General features: G+C 41.1%; 1 protein-coding gene across 3 annotated transcripts in view; it reads left to right on the plus strand.

The window, feature by feature from the left end:
• PPM1D (protein phosphatase, Mg2+/Mn2+ dependent 1D) overlaps positions 1 to 17,067 on the plus strand; it is a 66,088-nt gene that overhangs the window by 24,840 nt on the left and 24,181 nt on the right. For all 3 annotated transcript variants that reach the window (XR_934577.3, XR_007065507.1, NM_003620.4), the window contains exon 3: positions 8,821 to 8,945. Coding sequence is in view for 1 of the 3 variants with exons in the window: in NM_003620.4 (NP_003611.1) it covers positions 8,821 to 8,945 (125 nt within the window). In the remaining 2 variants the exon portion in view is untranslated. The remainder of the gene's footprint in view (positions 1 to 8,820; positions 8,946 to 17,067) is intronic.

Consider the following 17,067-nt stretch of genomic DNA (forward strand, 5'->3'; position numbering starts at 1 on the left):
TCGGGAGGCTGAGGCAGGAGAATTGCTTGAACCCAGGAGGCAGAGGTTGCAGTGAGCTGAGATTGCGCCACTGCACTCCAGCCTGGGCGACAGAGCGAGACTCCATCTCTTAAAAAAATAAAAATAAAATAAAATAAAGTACTAAGGTGCATGGCAACCCCGGTTAGGTGGATAAAGGAGAGAAAGTTTGAACAACAAAAAAATGCAAAACAGTAGTAAACATTTGGTGAAATAAAAGTAAAACATTAAGATGAAACTTCATTTCCTGTTATTAGATTAGGAAAGATAAAGAGATTCCTCTCAATATTTTTATTGAAATGGTTACCTTCTTGGTAAGATTACAAATTGGTACTACCTATATAGAAAATAATATATACCAGTAGCTTTAAATGTTTAGGGAATCTAAAGAAGAAATCTGAACTGTGGACAAAAATATCTGAATAGAGTTACTGATTGCAGCATTTGTAATGACTGTTAAAGGCCAGAAGTAACTTGAAGGCCTAACAGCTGGATAATGGTTAAGTATATTTAGCAACATATTCATAATGCTGAATATGATACAGCCATTAAAAATAACATTTATAGATAAGTTTATAAAACTCATGGTGTTTTGAAATTTTTCCAAGTAAAGGTAGAGTAATATGAACTCCCATGTATATGGGGAAGGTTTAATGATAGAGGAAAATGTTTATGGTCACAAAAAAGCAGGATATAAAATTATATTTCTGGTGTTAGCAATGCAGAGACATGGGAATAAGATGGAAATATTCTAAATTTTTATAAATGAGTGATGAGATTTTATGCCATACGTTTATTTTTATTTTTTTAATGGCGACATTCATTTGGTTCAAATTCAGGTAGCATAAAAAAGAGGATATGCTATGGAAGGTCTCTCAGCTGCTACTGTCCCAAAGGCCACCTCGTTCCCCTCCACTTGCTAAGCAACCAGTATGGCTGTGTGTCCTTTCAAAAGAGAGATATTCATATACAATCAAATATATTATGGAGCTGTACCATGTACAGATGTACCGTCATTTATTTTAATCAGTCTCCTATTGAAGGATTTTTATTTCTAATTTTTTTTTGTTATTGCAAACTGCTGTGAAATGAAAAATCTGCACATATGTGTTTTTGTGCACTTGCCAGTATATTTGTAGGATCATTTCCTAAAAGTGGAATTGCTTGGCCAAAGAGGTGTATGTTTTGAATATTGATAACTATTTGTCTCTATAAAGGTTGTACCAATTTACACTTCTACCATCAGTGTATGTGGATGTCCTGGACAACAAATAAAACTTTTTGATCATATCCAGTTTCAGGTTTAAAAAAGAGGTGTCTCAATGATGTGTTTTTTTGGGGTTTTTTTTGTTTTTTTTTTTTGAAACGGAGTCTGGCTCTTTCGCCCAGGCTGGAGTGCAGTGGCGCGATCTCGGCTCACTGCAAGCTCGGCCTCCTGGGTTCATGCCATTCTCCTGCCTGAGCCTCTCTAGTAGCTGGGACTACAGGCGCCTGCCACCACGCCCGGCTAATTTTTTGTATTTTTAGTAGAGATGGGGTTTCACCATGTTAGCCAGGATGGTCTTGATCTCCTGACCTCATGATCCACCCACCTCAGCCTCCCAAAGTGCTGGGATTACAGGCGTGAGCCACTGCACCCGGCAATGATGTTGTTTTAAAAAAAAATTTTAAGAAATAGAAATGAGGTCTTACCATGTTGCCCAGGCTGGTCTTGAACTCCTAGGCTCAAGCGATCCTCCCACCTTGTCCTCCCAAATTGTTGGGATTACAGATGTGAGCCACGTGCCCAGCTTCAGTAATGTTTTAATTTGAATTTATCTTATGAGAAATATTGAATCTTTTTATATATTTAAGAGCCATTTATATTTTCTTTTCTCTGTATTTCTTTTAATATTTATTATTCATTTTGGGGGATTGTTGTTAGCCATTTTTTTCCCACATTAATGTGTAGGGGCTAGCTGTACATTAAAGAAATTAGTCTGATGTATGTGATGTGAATTTTAGATATTGTTTCCACAGTTTGTCTTTTGATTATGCTCCTGGAACTTTTTCCACGTGGAAGTTTCTTTTAATGTAGTTAAATTTATTAGTCTCTTCTGTTACAACTTTTTGGGTTTTATGCCACACACACAGTGAAGCTTTTTAATAAAGTCTGCTATATTTTCTTTTAGTACAACAGGAATATTTTTGGTCTTAGAAACTCTGTTTGTTCATTGTATTTGTTTTTGACATGATCTCACTCTGTTGCCCAGGCTGCAGTGCAGTAGCACAATCATGGCTCACTGCAACCTCAAATGATCTTCCCATGTTAGTCTCTTGAGAGCTGGGACTACAGGTGCACGTGTGCCAACATGCCAGCTAATTTTCTTTTTCTTTCTTTTTTTTTTTTGAGACAGAGTCTTGCCCTGTTACCCAGGCTGGAGTGCAGTGGCGGGATCTGGGCTCACTGCAACCTCTGCCTCCCAGGTTCAAGCGATTCTCCTGCCTCAGCCTCCTGAGTAGCTGGGATTACAGGTGCCCGCCACCATGCCCAGCTAATTTTTGTATTTTTAGTAGAAACGGGGTTTCACCGTTTTGGTCAGGCTGGTCTTGAACTCCTGACCTTGTGATCCGCCCACCTCTGCCTCCCAAAGTGCTGGGATTACAGGTGTGAGCCAATTCGCCTGACCAGGAAGGAGTATTTTGCTCACTTTTCCATAAATGTTTGTCTTTGATACTGTTTCAAAACTCAAGAAATGATAGTTTCTTAAGGTATCTGAAACTTTATTAATGAACTTTGCATATTCTTACATTAACAGCCATTAGTCAGTCAATGAAGACATTAGTTGAATAGAAATTTTTTTTTTTTTTTGAGACTTGAGTTTTGCTCTTATTGCCCAGGCTGGAGTGCAGTGGCACGATCTCGTCTCACCGCAACCTCTGCTTCCTGGGTTCTCAGCCTCCGGAGTAGCTGGGATTAGAGGCATGTACCACCACACCCAGCTAATTTTGTATTTTTAGTAGAGACGGGGTTTCACGAACTCCCGACCTCAGGCGATCCACCTGCCTTGGCCTCCCAAAGTGCTGGCATTTCAGGTGTGAGCCACTGCTCCCGGCCCTGAATTGAATGCTTTTTAAAAATCCCTGCATAATTTAAAAAAATTAATGACTTTAATTTTAAGAGTACTTTTAGATTCACAGCAAAATTAAGTGGGAAGCACAGAATTCTCATATATACTTTGGCCTACCCCCCGTCTCCCAGGCTTCCCCACTATCCTTCTCCAGAGTGTTTGTTATAATCAATCAGTGAACCTACACTGACATACTGTTATCACCTGGTGTCCATAGTTTACATTAGGGTTCACTCCGGGTGTTATACATTTTATGGGTTTTGACAAATACGTCATGACACGTATCCATCATTATAGTATCATGCAGATTAGTTTCATCACCGTAAGAGTCCTCTGTACTTTGTCTGTTCATCCCTCCCCCACTTACTCCTGGCAACCACTGCTCTTTTTACTGCCTTCATAATTTTGCTTTTTCCAGAATGTCATATAGTTGGAACCATATAGTATGTAGCCCCTATGCATGACTTTTTAATATATGCATTTATTGTTTGTAATATACTAGGTCACTGAGTTATACAGATCTTGCAAATATTGACACTTTTTATTATACTATATAATATCCAGTCATGCAGCCTCTCAAAAAACTCCACTGTATACATGTGGTCTTAGTAGTATTATGAAAAAAAAAAATGGACCTTGGAGACACCCTGAAAAAGTCTGTAGTAACCTGCCAGGGGCCCCTAAACCACATTTTGAGAACCACTTTGCCAGTACTCGTATGGTTTCATCATCTTTTATATTTTAATCTTTAATCCTTCTGGAATTTTAAGATCTAAGCTATGTAGTAAATAGGCAAGTTAACTTTTTTTCTAGATGGCTACTAGTAGCCACTTGAATAATTATACATCTTTTCATTACTGAGTAGCAGGGTGACCAGGCTTAAGACCCTTCTTTAGTGGGAAGATGACCTTGAATTTACCCTCTTCTTGTATTTCTCTGGTGAAGATAAATGTGAAATATCACCTCTGTTGTAAGACAGCATTGCTTATTGTAGAATGATCCCTGAATGGAATTGCATCTTGGTAGGGAAGTTGTTGAATGGACTGTACATTTCTATTCGGAAGCACAGGCCTTGGCTTCCTTGTATGCATGCAGTTTGTCTTGTGTAGGGACCAAGAAACTGTAGTCATGTGCTATTTATTACATTGGTTTCTGTGACACATGAAGCTTACCTAAGCTAGACCCTGTCGTCTTGCTTACAACTGAGCCATCACTTGGGAGATGGAAAAATGGCTTCTGGCTGTCTGAATCACTGCTGAAGACAATATCCTTGAAGCTGCTATGGTGGCATACTCTATTTCCTGCCCAGTATTCTGCAAAGTTAGATGAACCTCCTTTCAGGCTATAGTCTATTTGATCTTGTGATTGTGAAGGTGAGAATATATCTGACATCTCTGCTGGTTGTCATGCTAAGTGGGCTTTGCAAATTATAAACAGAATTCTTCCATATATTTGGGTCTTTTCTGGGCTATAATTTTTTTCCTGCTTATTTACCAGTATTATAATTTTTAAAACGGAGACTTTATTATAATTTTAAATATTGGTAGGCCTGATTCCTTCTCATTAATCTTCCTTTTAAAAAATACTTTTCTTGGGGCCGGGCACAGTGGCTTACGCTTATAATCCCAGCACTTTGGGAGCCTGAGGCGGGCGGATCACCGGAGGTCAGGAGTTCGAGACAAGCCGGGCCAACATGGCGAAACCCTATCTCTACTAAAAATACAAAAATATTATCCAGGCGTAGTGGCATGTTCCCGTAATCCCAGCTACTCGGGAGGCTGAGGGAGGAGAATCTCTTGAACCTGGGAGGCAGAGGTTGCAGTGAGCCAAGATCCTGCCTCTGCACTCCAGCCTGCCCAACAAGAGTGAAAACTGTCTCAAAAAAAATAAAATAAAATAAAGCAGCTGGCTGCGGCACTTGTAATCCTAGCGCTTTGGAGGCCAAGATGGGAGGATCACTTGAGGTTAGAAGTTTGAGACCAACCTGTTCAACATAGCGGGACCTCCATCTCTAAAAAATTTTTTTATAATTATAAATAAATAAAATAAATGAACAAAAAAGGAAATAATTATTTTCTACAGAAGAAATTACCCTTTTGTGTTTTAAAAATACCTTTCTTGACTATTCTTTCTTGTTTGTTTTTTTACTTGAATTTTAAAATTATATTTTATTTGATTTTAATAATGTTTTTAGAAAGAGTTTTTTGGCTTTATTACCAAAAACACCATCTGGACAGTTGGGCAGATACTCCGCTATTTTGGAGCAGGTAACTTTTTGCAAAAATTGAGCTATTTTATTATAAGTTATTTCCTTGCTTCCCTCTGTCCCGGCCTAGGCAACGGGCCAGCATTTTGTTTTTCCAGCCTTCTGTTGCTGCTCAGTCAGCTCTCTGCGTGTCAGGCTGTTCCTTTTTACATGCCTTTTAATCATATAGGACAACAACAGGAAGTGCAGTAAAAGCATCTTTTATAACATTGCTTTGGTTTTTTGTTACTAGATGTTGAAACTTCTATGTTTTAACCAGTATCATTATTTGTCTTTTTGTTTCTCAGAAACACAGATCATAATATCTTTGAATATTAAGTGTCGAGAGAGCTGCTCGTCTAGTTATGTTGGAAGCAGCTACTGTAAATTACTTAGGTACTAAGCCTTACCTTGTAAGGAGAAGGTTTAGCAAAGAATAATAGAGCTTTAAGATGGTATTAAGGCAGAATGTTGGCATCTTATAACTCTTGTGTTTCATGGATTCTTGTGAATGGCAAGTTTAGTCTTTACTCTGCTGTTGACTTTTGAGAGTCATCATTGAAGAAAGCTTAATACAACAAAATGAATGCCTTTGATATTTTAACTCTTGTTATGATCAACCTATTTATATCAGAACTTATTTAAACTAGTTCTTGGCTGGGCATGGTGGCTCACGCCTGTAATCCCAGCATGTTGGGAGGCCCGGATGGGAGGATGGCTTGAGCCCAGGAGTTTAAGACCAGCCTGGCAAACATAGTGAGATCTGTTCTCTACAAAAAAATTACATGCCTTTGGTCCCAGCTATTTGGGAAGCTGAGGTGGGAGCATCACTTGAGCCTGGGAAGTCAAAGCTGTGGTGAGCCACGATCACACCACTGCACTGCAGCCTGGGCAACAGAACGACACCCTGTCTCAAAACCAAATGAAAACTAGTTCTCAAAAGGGATGGTAGGCTGGGCATGGTGACTCATGCCTGTAAGACTAGCACTTTGGGAGGCTGAGGCAGGCAGATTACTTGAGGCCAGGAGTTCGAGACCAGCCTGGCTAATATGGTTAAACCCCGTCTCTACTAAAAATAAAAAAATTAGCCGGGCATTGTGGCGGGTGCCTGTAATCCTAGCTACTCAGGAGGCTGAGGCTGCAGTGAGTTAAGATCACACCACTGCACTCCAGCCTAGGTAACAGAGCGAGACTGTCTCCAAAAAAAAAAGGGTGGGGGGATGGTGAATGAGCAACTTTCTGGAATTTCTCTTCTTTGTTAACACCCACAATGTTTTCTGGTCATTCTCTACTTGTTTCAGTCTTCCTCTGGACTGTTCAGTATACTCACCACTAGCCACAAATGGCTGTTTAAATTAATAAAAATTAAATTTAAAAAATCAATTCCCATTTGAAGTAAAGCTCATTTCGGTCATGCCAGGCATAGTTTGAGAGACCATCTCTAATGTTTTGATTATCAGTGTTTTTTCCTAAAGAACTAATCATATTTCAGGCCGGGCGCGGTGGCTCACGCCTGTAATCCCAGCACTTTGGGAGGCCGAGGTGGGTGGATCACGAGGTCAGGAGATCGAGACCATCCTGGCTAACCTGGTGAAACCCCGTGTCTACTAAAAATACAAAAAATTAGCCAGGCATGGTGGCAGGTGCCTGTAGTCCCAGCTACTCATAGTCCCAGCTACTCGGGAGGCTGAGGCAGGAGAATGGCATGAACCCGGGAGGCGGAGCTTGCAGTGAGCTGAGATCGCACCACTGCACTCCAGCCTGGGTGACAGAGCCAGACTCTGTCTCAAAAACAAAAAAAAAAACCTAATCATATTTCCAAGTTTTAGGCATTTCTTTTGCTCCTATGACACATTTTAGGAGGGTTTTCTTACTCTTGTAACTCCCAAATCTATATGTCTACAGCTGATCTATTTCACAAAGTCTAGTCTCAAACTTTGAATTACAGAAATACCTAAATATATAGTATTTTCTGTATATTGCTGAAATCATATTAAAACTGCCAACAATTAGCTGGGCATGGTGGCACATGCCTGTATTCTCAGCTACTCAGGAGACTGAGGTGGGAGGATCACTGCAGCCCAGGAGGAAGTCAAGCCTGCAGTGAACCATGAGTGCACCACTGCACTCCAGCCTGGGCGACAGAGACCCTGTATCAGAAAACAAAAAACAGGCTGGGCGCTGTGGCTCACACCTGTAATCCCAGCACTTTGGGAGACTGAAGTGGGAGGATGGCTTAAGCCCAGGACCAGCCCAGGCAACATAGTGAGACCCCGTCTCCTCAAAAAAGAAAAAATTAGGCAGGCGTGGTGGCCCACGTGGTGGCTCCCAGCACTTTGGGAGGCTGAGGTCAAGAGTTCGAGACCAGCCTGGCCAACATGGTGAAACCCTGTCTCTACTAAAAATACAAAAATTAGCAGGCGTGGTAGCGTGTGCCTGTAGTTCCAGCTACTTGGGAGGCTGAGGCAGAATAATCGCTTGAACCCAGGAGGCGGAAGTTGCAGTGAGTCGAGATGGTGCCACTGCACTCCAGTCTGGACAACAAGAGCAAAACTCCATCTCAAAATAAATAAATAAAAATAAACAAAAAAACTGGCTGGGCACGGTGGCTGACGTCAGCCTGTAATCCCATCACTTTGGGAGGCCGAGGTGGGCAGATCACTTGAGGTTGGGAGTTCAAGACCAGCCTGGCCAACATGCTGAAACCCCATCTCTGCTAAAAATACAAAAATAGCCAGGCATGGTAGCATACGCCTGTAATCCAAGCTACTCGGGAGGCTTAGGCAGGAGAATCGCTTGAACCCAGGAGGTGGAGGTTGTGGTGAGCTGAGATCACACCATTGTGCTCCAGCTTGGGCAACAGAGTGAGACTCCATCTCAAAAACAACAACAACAACAAAAATTAAAACTGAAGTTCTGCTGTTTCGCCCGTCCTCAACATAAACACTCAGAACCCTATAACCTTTCCTTTTTAATTGCTTATATCACAATTTAATGCCTATTTATTTATTTATTTATTGAGACAAGAGTCTCGCTCTGTCATCCAGGCTGGAGTACAGTGGTGTGATTCTCGGCTCACTGCAGCCTCTGCCTCCCGAGTTCAAGCAGTTCTCTCTCCACTTAGATAAGGCCTTCTGTCAACCCCCAATTGTTTACTAATTAGGTAGTGTTGCTTTTTTTTTGACATGGTATTTATACTTACTTTTCTTCACATTACATTCATTTGGTTATACTGCCTATTCCAGTAATCTCAAAATTTTCCACTTTGAATCTACCCTAATTCCTCTCTGAACAGGAATTTTGGCTTATGCATCTTTGTATTTGAAACACATAAGACATTATTTTGTAATAATGTAGTCTTATTTTATTAGTGATTTAATATACTGAGCTATCTTAGTTGTTGTATTTTAATCATTTAGATTATTTATGTGAACTCTTTATTTTTAGTGTAATGAACAAGTCTGGGGTGAATCGTGTAGTTTGGAAACGACCTCGACTCACTCACAATGGACCTGTTAGAAGGAGCACAGTTATTGACCAGATTCCTTTTCTGGCAGTAGCAAGAGCACTTGGTAAGTAGGACTTAATTTGGTGAAATTATATTGAATTTTCTACAATATATGGTGGCAAAATAAAAGAGGAGACAGAACTAAACCCTTACTTGGCATATAGTGAGGGTAGAGATATCATGATATTCTATTAACTGCTTTAGAACCTAATCGAAGCCATGCATGGTGGCTCACGCTTATAATCCCAGCACTTTGGGAGGCTGAGGTGGGCGGATCTCTTGAGGTCAGGAGTTTGAGACCAGCCTAGCCAACATGGTGAAACTGCATCTTCACTAAAAAATACAAAAATTAGCTGGGCATAGTGATGTGTAGCTGTAGTCCTAGCTACTCAAGAGGCTGAGTCAGGAGAATTGCTTGAAAGCAGGAGGCAGAGGTTGCAGTGATCGCATCACTGCACTCCAGCCTGGGCGACAGAGCAAGACTCTAAAAAAAAGCCTAATTGAGGGGAAGGTTTAGGTATATAATTCACTGACAGTTGCCCTTTGTTCATGAGTCACGTTCAATGTTTTGCTAATTTCTATCTCTGTTTAGGGAAGTATATGCATATCTAGGCTTAATGTTACCCTTGAAACTATTTTTAAGTATCCCATTCTCCTTTAGCCCTTAATAGTCCTCCTGAGAGCCTTCAAAACCTCTTTTTTCTTTAGTTAGGAAAGTAAAATAACTATGAAAAAAATAGTTATATTTCTGGTCTACCTGGCTTTGGAAAGAAGGCTAGAGAATTACACCTGTTAAGGTGTCTTACCTTGGCTATGCTAGATGGGGGTAGTTTTTTCAAAGAAAATGTCTCTGAGAAAACGCACATTTGTTTATTTTTATTTTATGAGACAGGGTCTTGTTTTGTTATTCAGCCTGGATTGCAGTGGCATGATGACAGCTCACTGCAACCTCTACCTCCCAGGCTCAAGTGATCCTCCCACGTTAGCCTCCCGAGTAACTGGGACTACAGGTGTGAGCCACCACGCCTGGCTAATTTTTTCTTTTTTAAGGAGACGGGGTCTCACTGTGTTGCCCGGGGTGGTCCTGGGCTTAAGCCATCCTCCTATCTCGGTCTCCCAAAGCACTGGGATTACAGGCATGAGCCACCACACCCAGCACAACTACTATATATATTAATAATTTGTTTCCAATGTGAAACTAATTTTCTTCTTTCACACCCTGACTGGTGGACTTTTATGTTATATCCAAGCATTTGCTATTATGAAAAATACTGCAATAAATATTTCCTTATATACACATATGGGTTGTTTTTTTTTTTTAAATGGAGTTTTACTCTTGTTCCCCAGGCTGGAGTGCAGTGGTGCAGTCTCGGCTCACTGTAACCTCTGCCTCCTGGGTTCAAGCGATTCTTCTGCCTCAGCCTCCCGAGTAGCTGGGATTACAGGCATGCACCACCACTACCGGCTAATTTTGTATTTTTAGTAGAGACGGGGTTTCTCTATGTTGGTCAGACTGGTCTTGAACTCCTGACCTCAGGTGATCTGCCCGCCTTGGCCTCCCAAAGTGCTGGGATTACAGGCGTGAGCCACTGTGCCTGGCAAGATTTCTTTAAGATACATAACTAGAAATGGAATTTCTGGGTCATAGTATGTTACTTACCAACTGTTTTTGTGTCGTAACACTCACACAAGATGATAATATTTCTACAGTAAGCAGAGGAGGCTACTTGAGACTGAGGTAACTAACATGGACTCTCTAGCCACTGAGGACCCACCCTGCTGCCCCTAGGCCTCACTCATCCAAGGAATACCAATTGGGAGACTCAGTTCAGAGATATCTACATGTTTAGTTTTATTAGGTATTGCTAAATTTCTTCCCAAAGTGATTATCCCAGGTTATTACAGTCCCGCTGTATTAGTTATCTATTGCTGTGTAATCAAATACTCCCACACTTAGGAGTTTAAAACATTTTTTATGTACACAGTTCCTCCGGCTCAGGAACCCGGGGTGACTTAACTGGATGGTTCTGGCTCAGGGTCTCTTGTGTAGCTGCAATCAAGATGTCATTAATCATCGAAGCCTTCAATGGGGTTGGAGCATCTACTTGTAAGACAGCTCACTGAGTAACCTGGATTGGCTGGAGGCTTCAGTTTCTTGCTTTGCCGGCCTCTGCATAGGGTTGCTTGATGTGTCTTCATCACATGGCAGCTGGCTTCCTTAGAGCAAGTGATCATAAAAAGACATTTTGACTTCTACCTTGCTTTCTTGATCACTTGCTGTAGGGAACCCAGCTTTGTATTTTGTTAGCCCTGAATCACTAAATCAAGCCCACCCTCAAGTATATCAAATAATTTGTGGATGTATTTTAAAAGCATATAGTTCCTACTTCTTCATGATTGTTCTTTATTCACCAAATATTTATTAAATACCTGCTATGTGCTAGGTACTGTTCCAGGTGCTGAGGATTCAGCAGTGAATGAAACAAAAATTCCTGCACCCATGGAGCTTACTTTCTAGGTTAGGGGAAAACATGATAAACTAAAATAACTAAGTAGGACACATACTGTGTTAGAAATGCTACCAAGAAAAATAAAGCAGGGAATGCTATGAGGGTGGGGCCTGTATAATAATTCTAAATGGGATGGTCAGAGGAGGGTCTCGCTAAGATGATATGTCAGTAAAGTGTAAGTAAAGAGATGAGGCAGTGAGACCTGTGAGTGTCTGGGGCCACAGAATTTAGGCAGAAGTAACAAATGTAAGGGTTCTCATTACTCATGAATTTTTCTCTTTTTTTTTTGAGATGAGGTCTCACTCTGTGCCCTAGGCTAGAGCTCATTGCAGCCCCTAAAGTCCTGGGCTCAAGTGTTCCCCCAGCCTCAGCTTCCCAAGTAGCTGGGGCTACAGGTGCATGCCATCACACCCAACTAATTTTTAAAAATTTTTTGTAGAGACGTCTCGCTTTGCCCAGGTTGGTCTCAAATTCCTGGCTTCAAGCGATCTGCCCACCTCAGCCTCCCAAAGTGCATGTGCGACAGCGCTCAGCCTACTCATGATTTTTTTTTTTTTTTTTTTAGACAGAATTTCGCTTTTATTGCCCAGGTTGGCGTGCAGTGATGTGATCTCAGCTCACTGCAACCTTCACCTCCTGGGTTCAAGCAATTCTGCTGCCTCAGCCTCCCAAGTAGCTGGGATTATAGGCGTGCGCCCCCACGCCCGGCTAATTTTGTATTTTTAGTAAAGACCTGTGAGTGTCTGGGGCCACAGAATGTAGGCAGAAGTAACAAATGTAAGGGTTCTCATTACTCATGAATTTTTCTCTTTTTTCTTTTTCTTTCTTTCTTTTTTTGTTTTTTTGAGATGAGGTCTCACTCTGTGCCACAGGGGTTTCACCATGTTGGTCAGGCTGGTCTCCAACTCCTGACCTCAAGTGATCTACCCACTTCGGCCTCTCAGAGTACTGGGATTACAGGCATGAGCCACTGTGCCCCGCTCCTACTCAGTATTTTTAACTGAGCAGCTGGAAAAATGGAGTTGCCACTAAGTGATAAAGAAATGACTGGAACATCAGTGTAAAGGAGAGGTCGGAAGTTCAGTTTTGGACACATTACCCTTTCGGCATGTTTTAGACATTAAGGTGGTGATACCTATTTGGCTTCCCATTATAAGAATTGATTTCAGGTGTTGTCTAGGGTGGAGCTTTCAATTTGGGGGAGCCAGTAGCATATAGATAGTATACAAAGTCTTGAGGTCATGTAGGGATTGAGTGCAGATAGAAAAGGGGACAAGGTCTAGTGGCTGAGCCCTGAGATACTCTCACTGTTAAGACTCGGGGGATGTGCTCTGGTTTCATTTGAGGGTTGGATTAAAATTAAAAAAAAATCTAAAAGAGTTAGGGGATGTGAATGGAAGAACAAGGTAAAACAACTAACAGCTGTAAGTCAAATAGGAAATTTGGGTTAGCGTACCCTGGAAGCTAAGTGAAGAAAGTGTTTCCAGAAAGAAAGTGTTTCAAATACTGTTGTCATTTAGGTGGAGGGAGGATTGAAAAATGACCATGGGATTTAGGAATGTGGAGGTCATTGGTGACCTTGAAAAAGAAGGTAGCTTTTGGTGGAATAGCAAGACCACAACCATGATTGGGGTTATTGAAGAAAGAACTGTCTTCTTGAGTGGGAGGAATAAAATTTGATACAGCGAGTTTTTAGACAGTGTTTTTATAGAAGTTACTTTACTTCAACATAATTTTGTAAACACATACAGAAATGAATTAATATTTTGATAAAAGGGCTTATAAGAGAAAATCGTTTTAGTGATAAAAAAGCTTTTTTCCTCTTGATTTCTCTTGTCACATAAATATTTTCTTTTCAAAAATAATGCTACCTTTTAGATTTTAATATTTAAGCTAAAAAGGCTTTGCTGTATTACTTTTCAAACCATTATTCTGACACTTGGAAAAATTTTTTTTTTTTTATGAGATGGAATCTCACTCTGTTGCCCAGGCTGGAATGCAGTGGCACGATCTCAGCTCACTGCAACTTCCGCCTCCCCGGCTCAAATGATTCTTCTGCCTCAGTCTTCCAAGTAGCTGGGATTACAGGTGCGTGCCACCACACCTGGCTGATTTTTGTATTTTTAGTAGAGATGGGATCTCACCATGTTGGCCAGGCTGGTCTCGAACTCCTGACCTCAGTTGATCCGCCCACCTCTGCTTCCCAAAGTGCTGGGATTACAAGCGCAAGCCACCGCGACCGACCGGCCTGGAAATAATATTTTTAAAAGAGCCATGTTATTGGTTTTCTGAGTTTAGCTTGTTGCATGGAAATACTTACTGGCCTAAAGTAAATTAAATGCTCATATTTAGCACACACCCTTATGGTTTACGGCCATTTTTCTTATAGGTTTTTTTGGGCGGGGGAAGGGGTGGGAATAGATGTCTCCTTGTCAACATTGGTACCCACCCTATAGACACTGATGATAATTACCCAAGTACAAATGTAGCAAAGGTGCCCTCTAGTGGCTGCCTGCTGGAATTGCATTTTGAGTCTTGCAAATCATTTTATTCACTGGGGAGATAATTTTTGAGTATAGTGTGTATGAAGCACTCTGCTGTATGTACAAGCACATGATCTTTGCCCTCATGGAGCTTGCAGTCTAGGAAAGGGTTGAAAGGCATTCATCAGATGATAACAAAAAACTGAAAAAAAAATTATTTTTTTTTGAGACTGAGTTTTTTTCTTGTCATCCAGGCTGGAGTGCATTGGCACAATCTCGGCTCACTGTAACCTTTACTTCCCAGGTTCAAGCGATTCTCCTGCCTCAGCTTCCCAAGTAGCTGGGATTACAGGCACCCGCCACCATGCTCGGCTAAGTTTTGTACAAAAATACAGGGGTTTTGCCATGTTAGCCAACTTGGTCTCTAACTCCTAACCTCAGGTGATCTACCCGCCTCAGCCACCTAAAGTGCTGGGATTACAGATGAGAGCCACAGCGCCTGGCTAAAACTGAACATTTTTAATTCTTCTTCTTCTTCTTTTTTTTTTTGAGATGGAGTCTCACTCTGTCGCCCAGGCTGGAGTGCAGTGGCACGATCTCGGCTCATTGCAGCCTCCGCCTTCCGGGTTCAAGCGATTCTTCTGCCTCCATCTCCCAAGTAGCTAGGACTACAGGCGCACGCCACTGCACCCAGCTACTTTTTGTATTTTTAGTACAGACGGGGTTTCACCATGTTGGCCAGGCTGGTCTCGAACTCCTGACCTCAGGTGATCCGCCTGCCTCGGGTTCCCAAAGTGTTGGGATTACAGGCGTGAGCCACCACACCCAGCCAATTCTTAACTTCTTATATGTACTAATGAAAACCTAAAATAAGGATATTTCACTTAACCAGAGAGGCCAGAAAAGTGATATTTGAACTGAGTTTTGAAGAATTACTGGAGGTTAAGGAGGAAGAAAGTGTGTTTTAGGCATAGAAAACAACATTTTCGAAAAGTTCGGTGATAGGAAGAAGCATAGTGATATAGGAACTCTGATGAAGGGCAGTGTAGCTGGAACGGATAAGGAAATAAGAGACTTGGATAAAATGAGAAAATACTGCATTTTATAGGCAGTGGTAAATAATCATGTTTGGCTGGATGTGGTGGCTCACACCCATAATTCTAACACTTTGGGAGGCCAAGGCAGGTGGATTGCTTGAGTTCAAGGAGTTCAAGACCAGCTGGACAACATGGCGAAATCTCCCCTCTACAAAGAATTGGCTGGGCGTGGTTGCACGCGCTTGTAGTCTCAGTTACTCAGGAGGCTTTGGTTGGGAGGATTGCTTGAGCCCAGGAGGCTGCAGTGAGCCAAGATTATGTCACTGTACTCCAGCTTGGGCAACAGAGCAAGACCCTGTTTCAGAAAAAACAAAAGAATTGTGTCTTTATCTTAAAAACAATTGTGAACTATAACAGAGTTGGAATGGGAAACATAACCAGATTTGTGTGTTTTTAATTGTGGTAATATATGCTTAGCATACACGTAACTTACCGTTGTAAAGCATGTGGTTCATTGATGTTACGTACGGTTACACTGTTTTGCAACTGTCATCCACCATTCATCCTAGATTTGTGGGCTTTTGTTTGTTTGTTTTTGTAATTTCAGCTTTTAGATTCAGGAAGTACATGTACAGGTTTGTTACATGGGTATATTGCATGGTGCTGAGGTTTGGGGTACGATTGATTCCGTCATCCAGGTAGGGAGCATAGTACCCAATTGTTAGTTTTTCATGTCTTCCTCCTTCTCTCCCTTCTCCCTCTAGTGGTCCCCAGTGTCTATTGTTGCCATCTGTATCTTCATGTGTACTCAATGTTTAGCTCCCATTTGCAAGTGAGAACATGTGGTATTTGGCTTTCTTTTCCTAAAAGAAATTGGAAATTTCTTTTATTTAGAAATTTAGAAATTTCTTTTCCTAAGTAAATTGGATTAATTTACTTAGGATAATGGCCTCCAGCTGCATCTGTGTTGCTGCAAAGGACATAATTTCATTTTTTTTTTTGTGGCTGTGTAGTATTCTGTAGTGTGTATGTACCATATTTTCTTTATGCATTTCACTTTTGATGGGCACCTAAGTAGATTCCTTGTCTTTGCTATTGTGAATAGTGCTGCAATGAACATTTGAGTGCATGTGTCTTTTTGTAGAGCGATTTATTTTCCTTTGGATGTATACCCACTAACAGGATTGCTAGATCGAATGGTAGTTCTAAGTTCTTTGAGATATCTCCACACTGCTTTCCACAGTGGCTGAATTAATTTATATTCCCACCAACAGTGTATAAGCATTCCCTTTTCTCTGCAGCTTTGCCAGCATTGTCATTTATTGGCTTTTTAATAATAGTCATTCTCACAGGGTATGAGATGGTATTTCATTGTGGTTTTGATTTGCGTTCTCTAATGATTACTAATGTGGAGCTTTTTATGATTCTTGGCCGTTTGCATGTCTTCTTTTGAAAAGTGTTGATGCCTTTTGCCCACTTTCTAATGGGGTTATTTGTTTTTAACTTGTTGAATTGTTTAAGTTCTTTACAGATTCTAGATATTAGATCTTTGTCAGATACATAGTTTGTGAATATTTTCTCCCTTTCTGTAGGTTGTCTGTTTACTCTGTTGATAGCTTCTTTTGCTGTGCAGAAGCTCTTTAATTAGGTCCTACTTGTCAATTTTTGTTTTTGTTACAGTTGCTTTTGAGGATTTAGTCACAGATTCTTTCCCAAGGCTGATGTCCATCCACGATTCTTACAGTTTGAGGTCTTACATTTAAATCTTTAATCCATTAGTTTGTGTTTTAAAGAGAGAATTTTCATTGAGTTTTGAGAATGGATTAGAGGGGGTAAACATTGTTGGAAGTTCTCCATGGGAAGCCACTCAAAGGGGTGCTGAAATTTGATAGGTGTAAGGACCACTGAGTGTCTTGTGGACTGCTGGCTGCCAAGTGCCACAGGAGCAAGCAGAAAATATACTGGAACCAGAAAGCAGGCCTCCTCTCTTCTGGTGTCCCTTCAGCACCCTCTACTGAGGAAAAAAGGGAATTGGCTGTCTGCCAGTTTCCAAGGCACCTCCTTTCAGGACCTACAGAAATGATGTTCTATGATCGTACTTTGGTGTACAAACACTAGACCAGTAATAAAAACCCTTAGTTAAAGGCCCAATTCTG

The sequence above is a fragment of the Homo sapiens genome, chromosome 17 (genome assembly GCF_000001405.40).
Source record: "Homo sapiens chromosome 17, GRCh38.p14 Primary Assembly".
Classification (NCBI taxonomy): domain Eukaryota; kingdom Metazoa; phylum Chordata; class Mammalia; order Primates; family Hominidae; genus Homo; species Homo sapiens.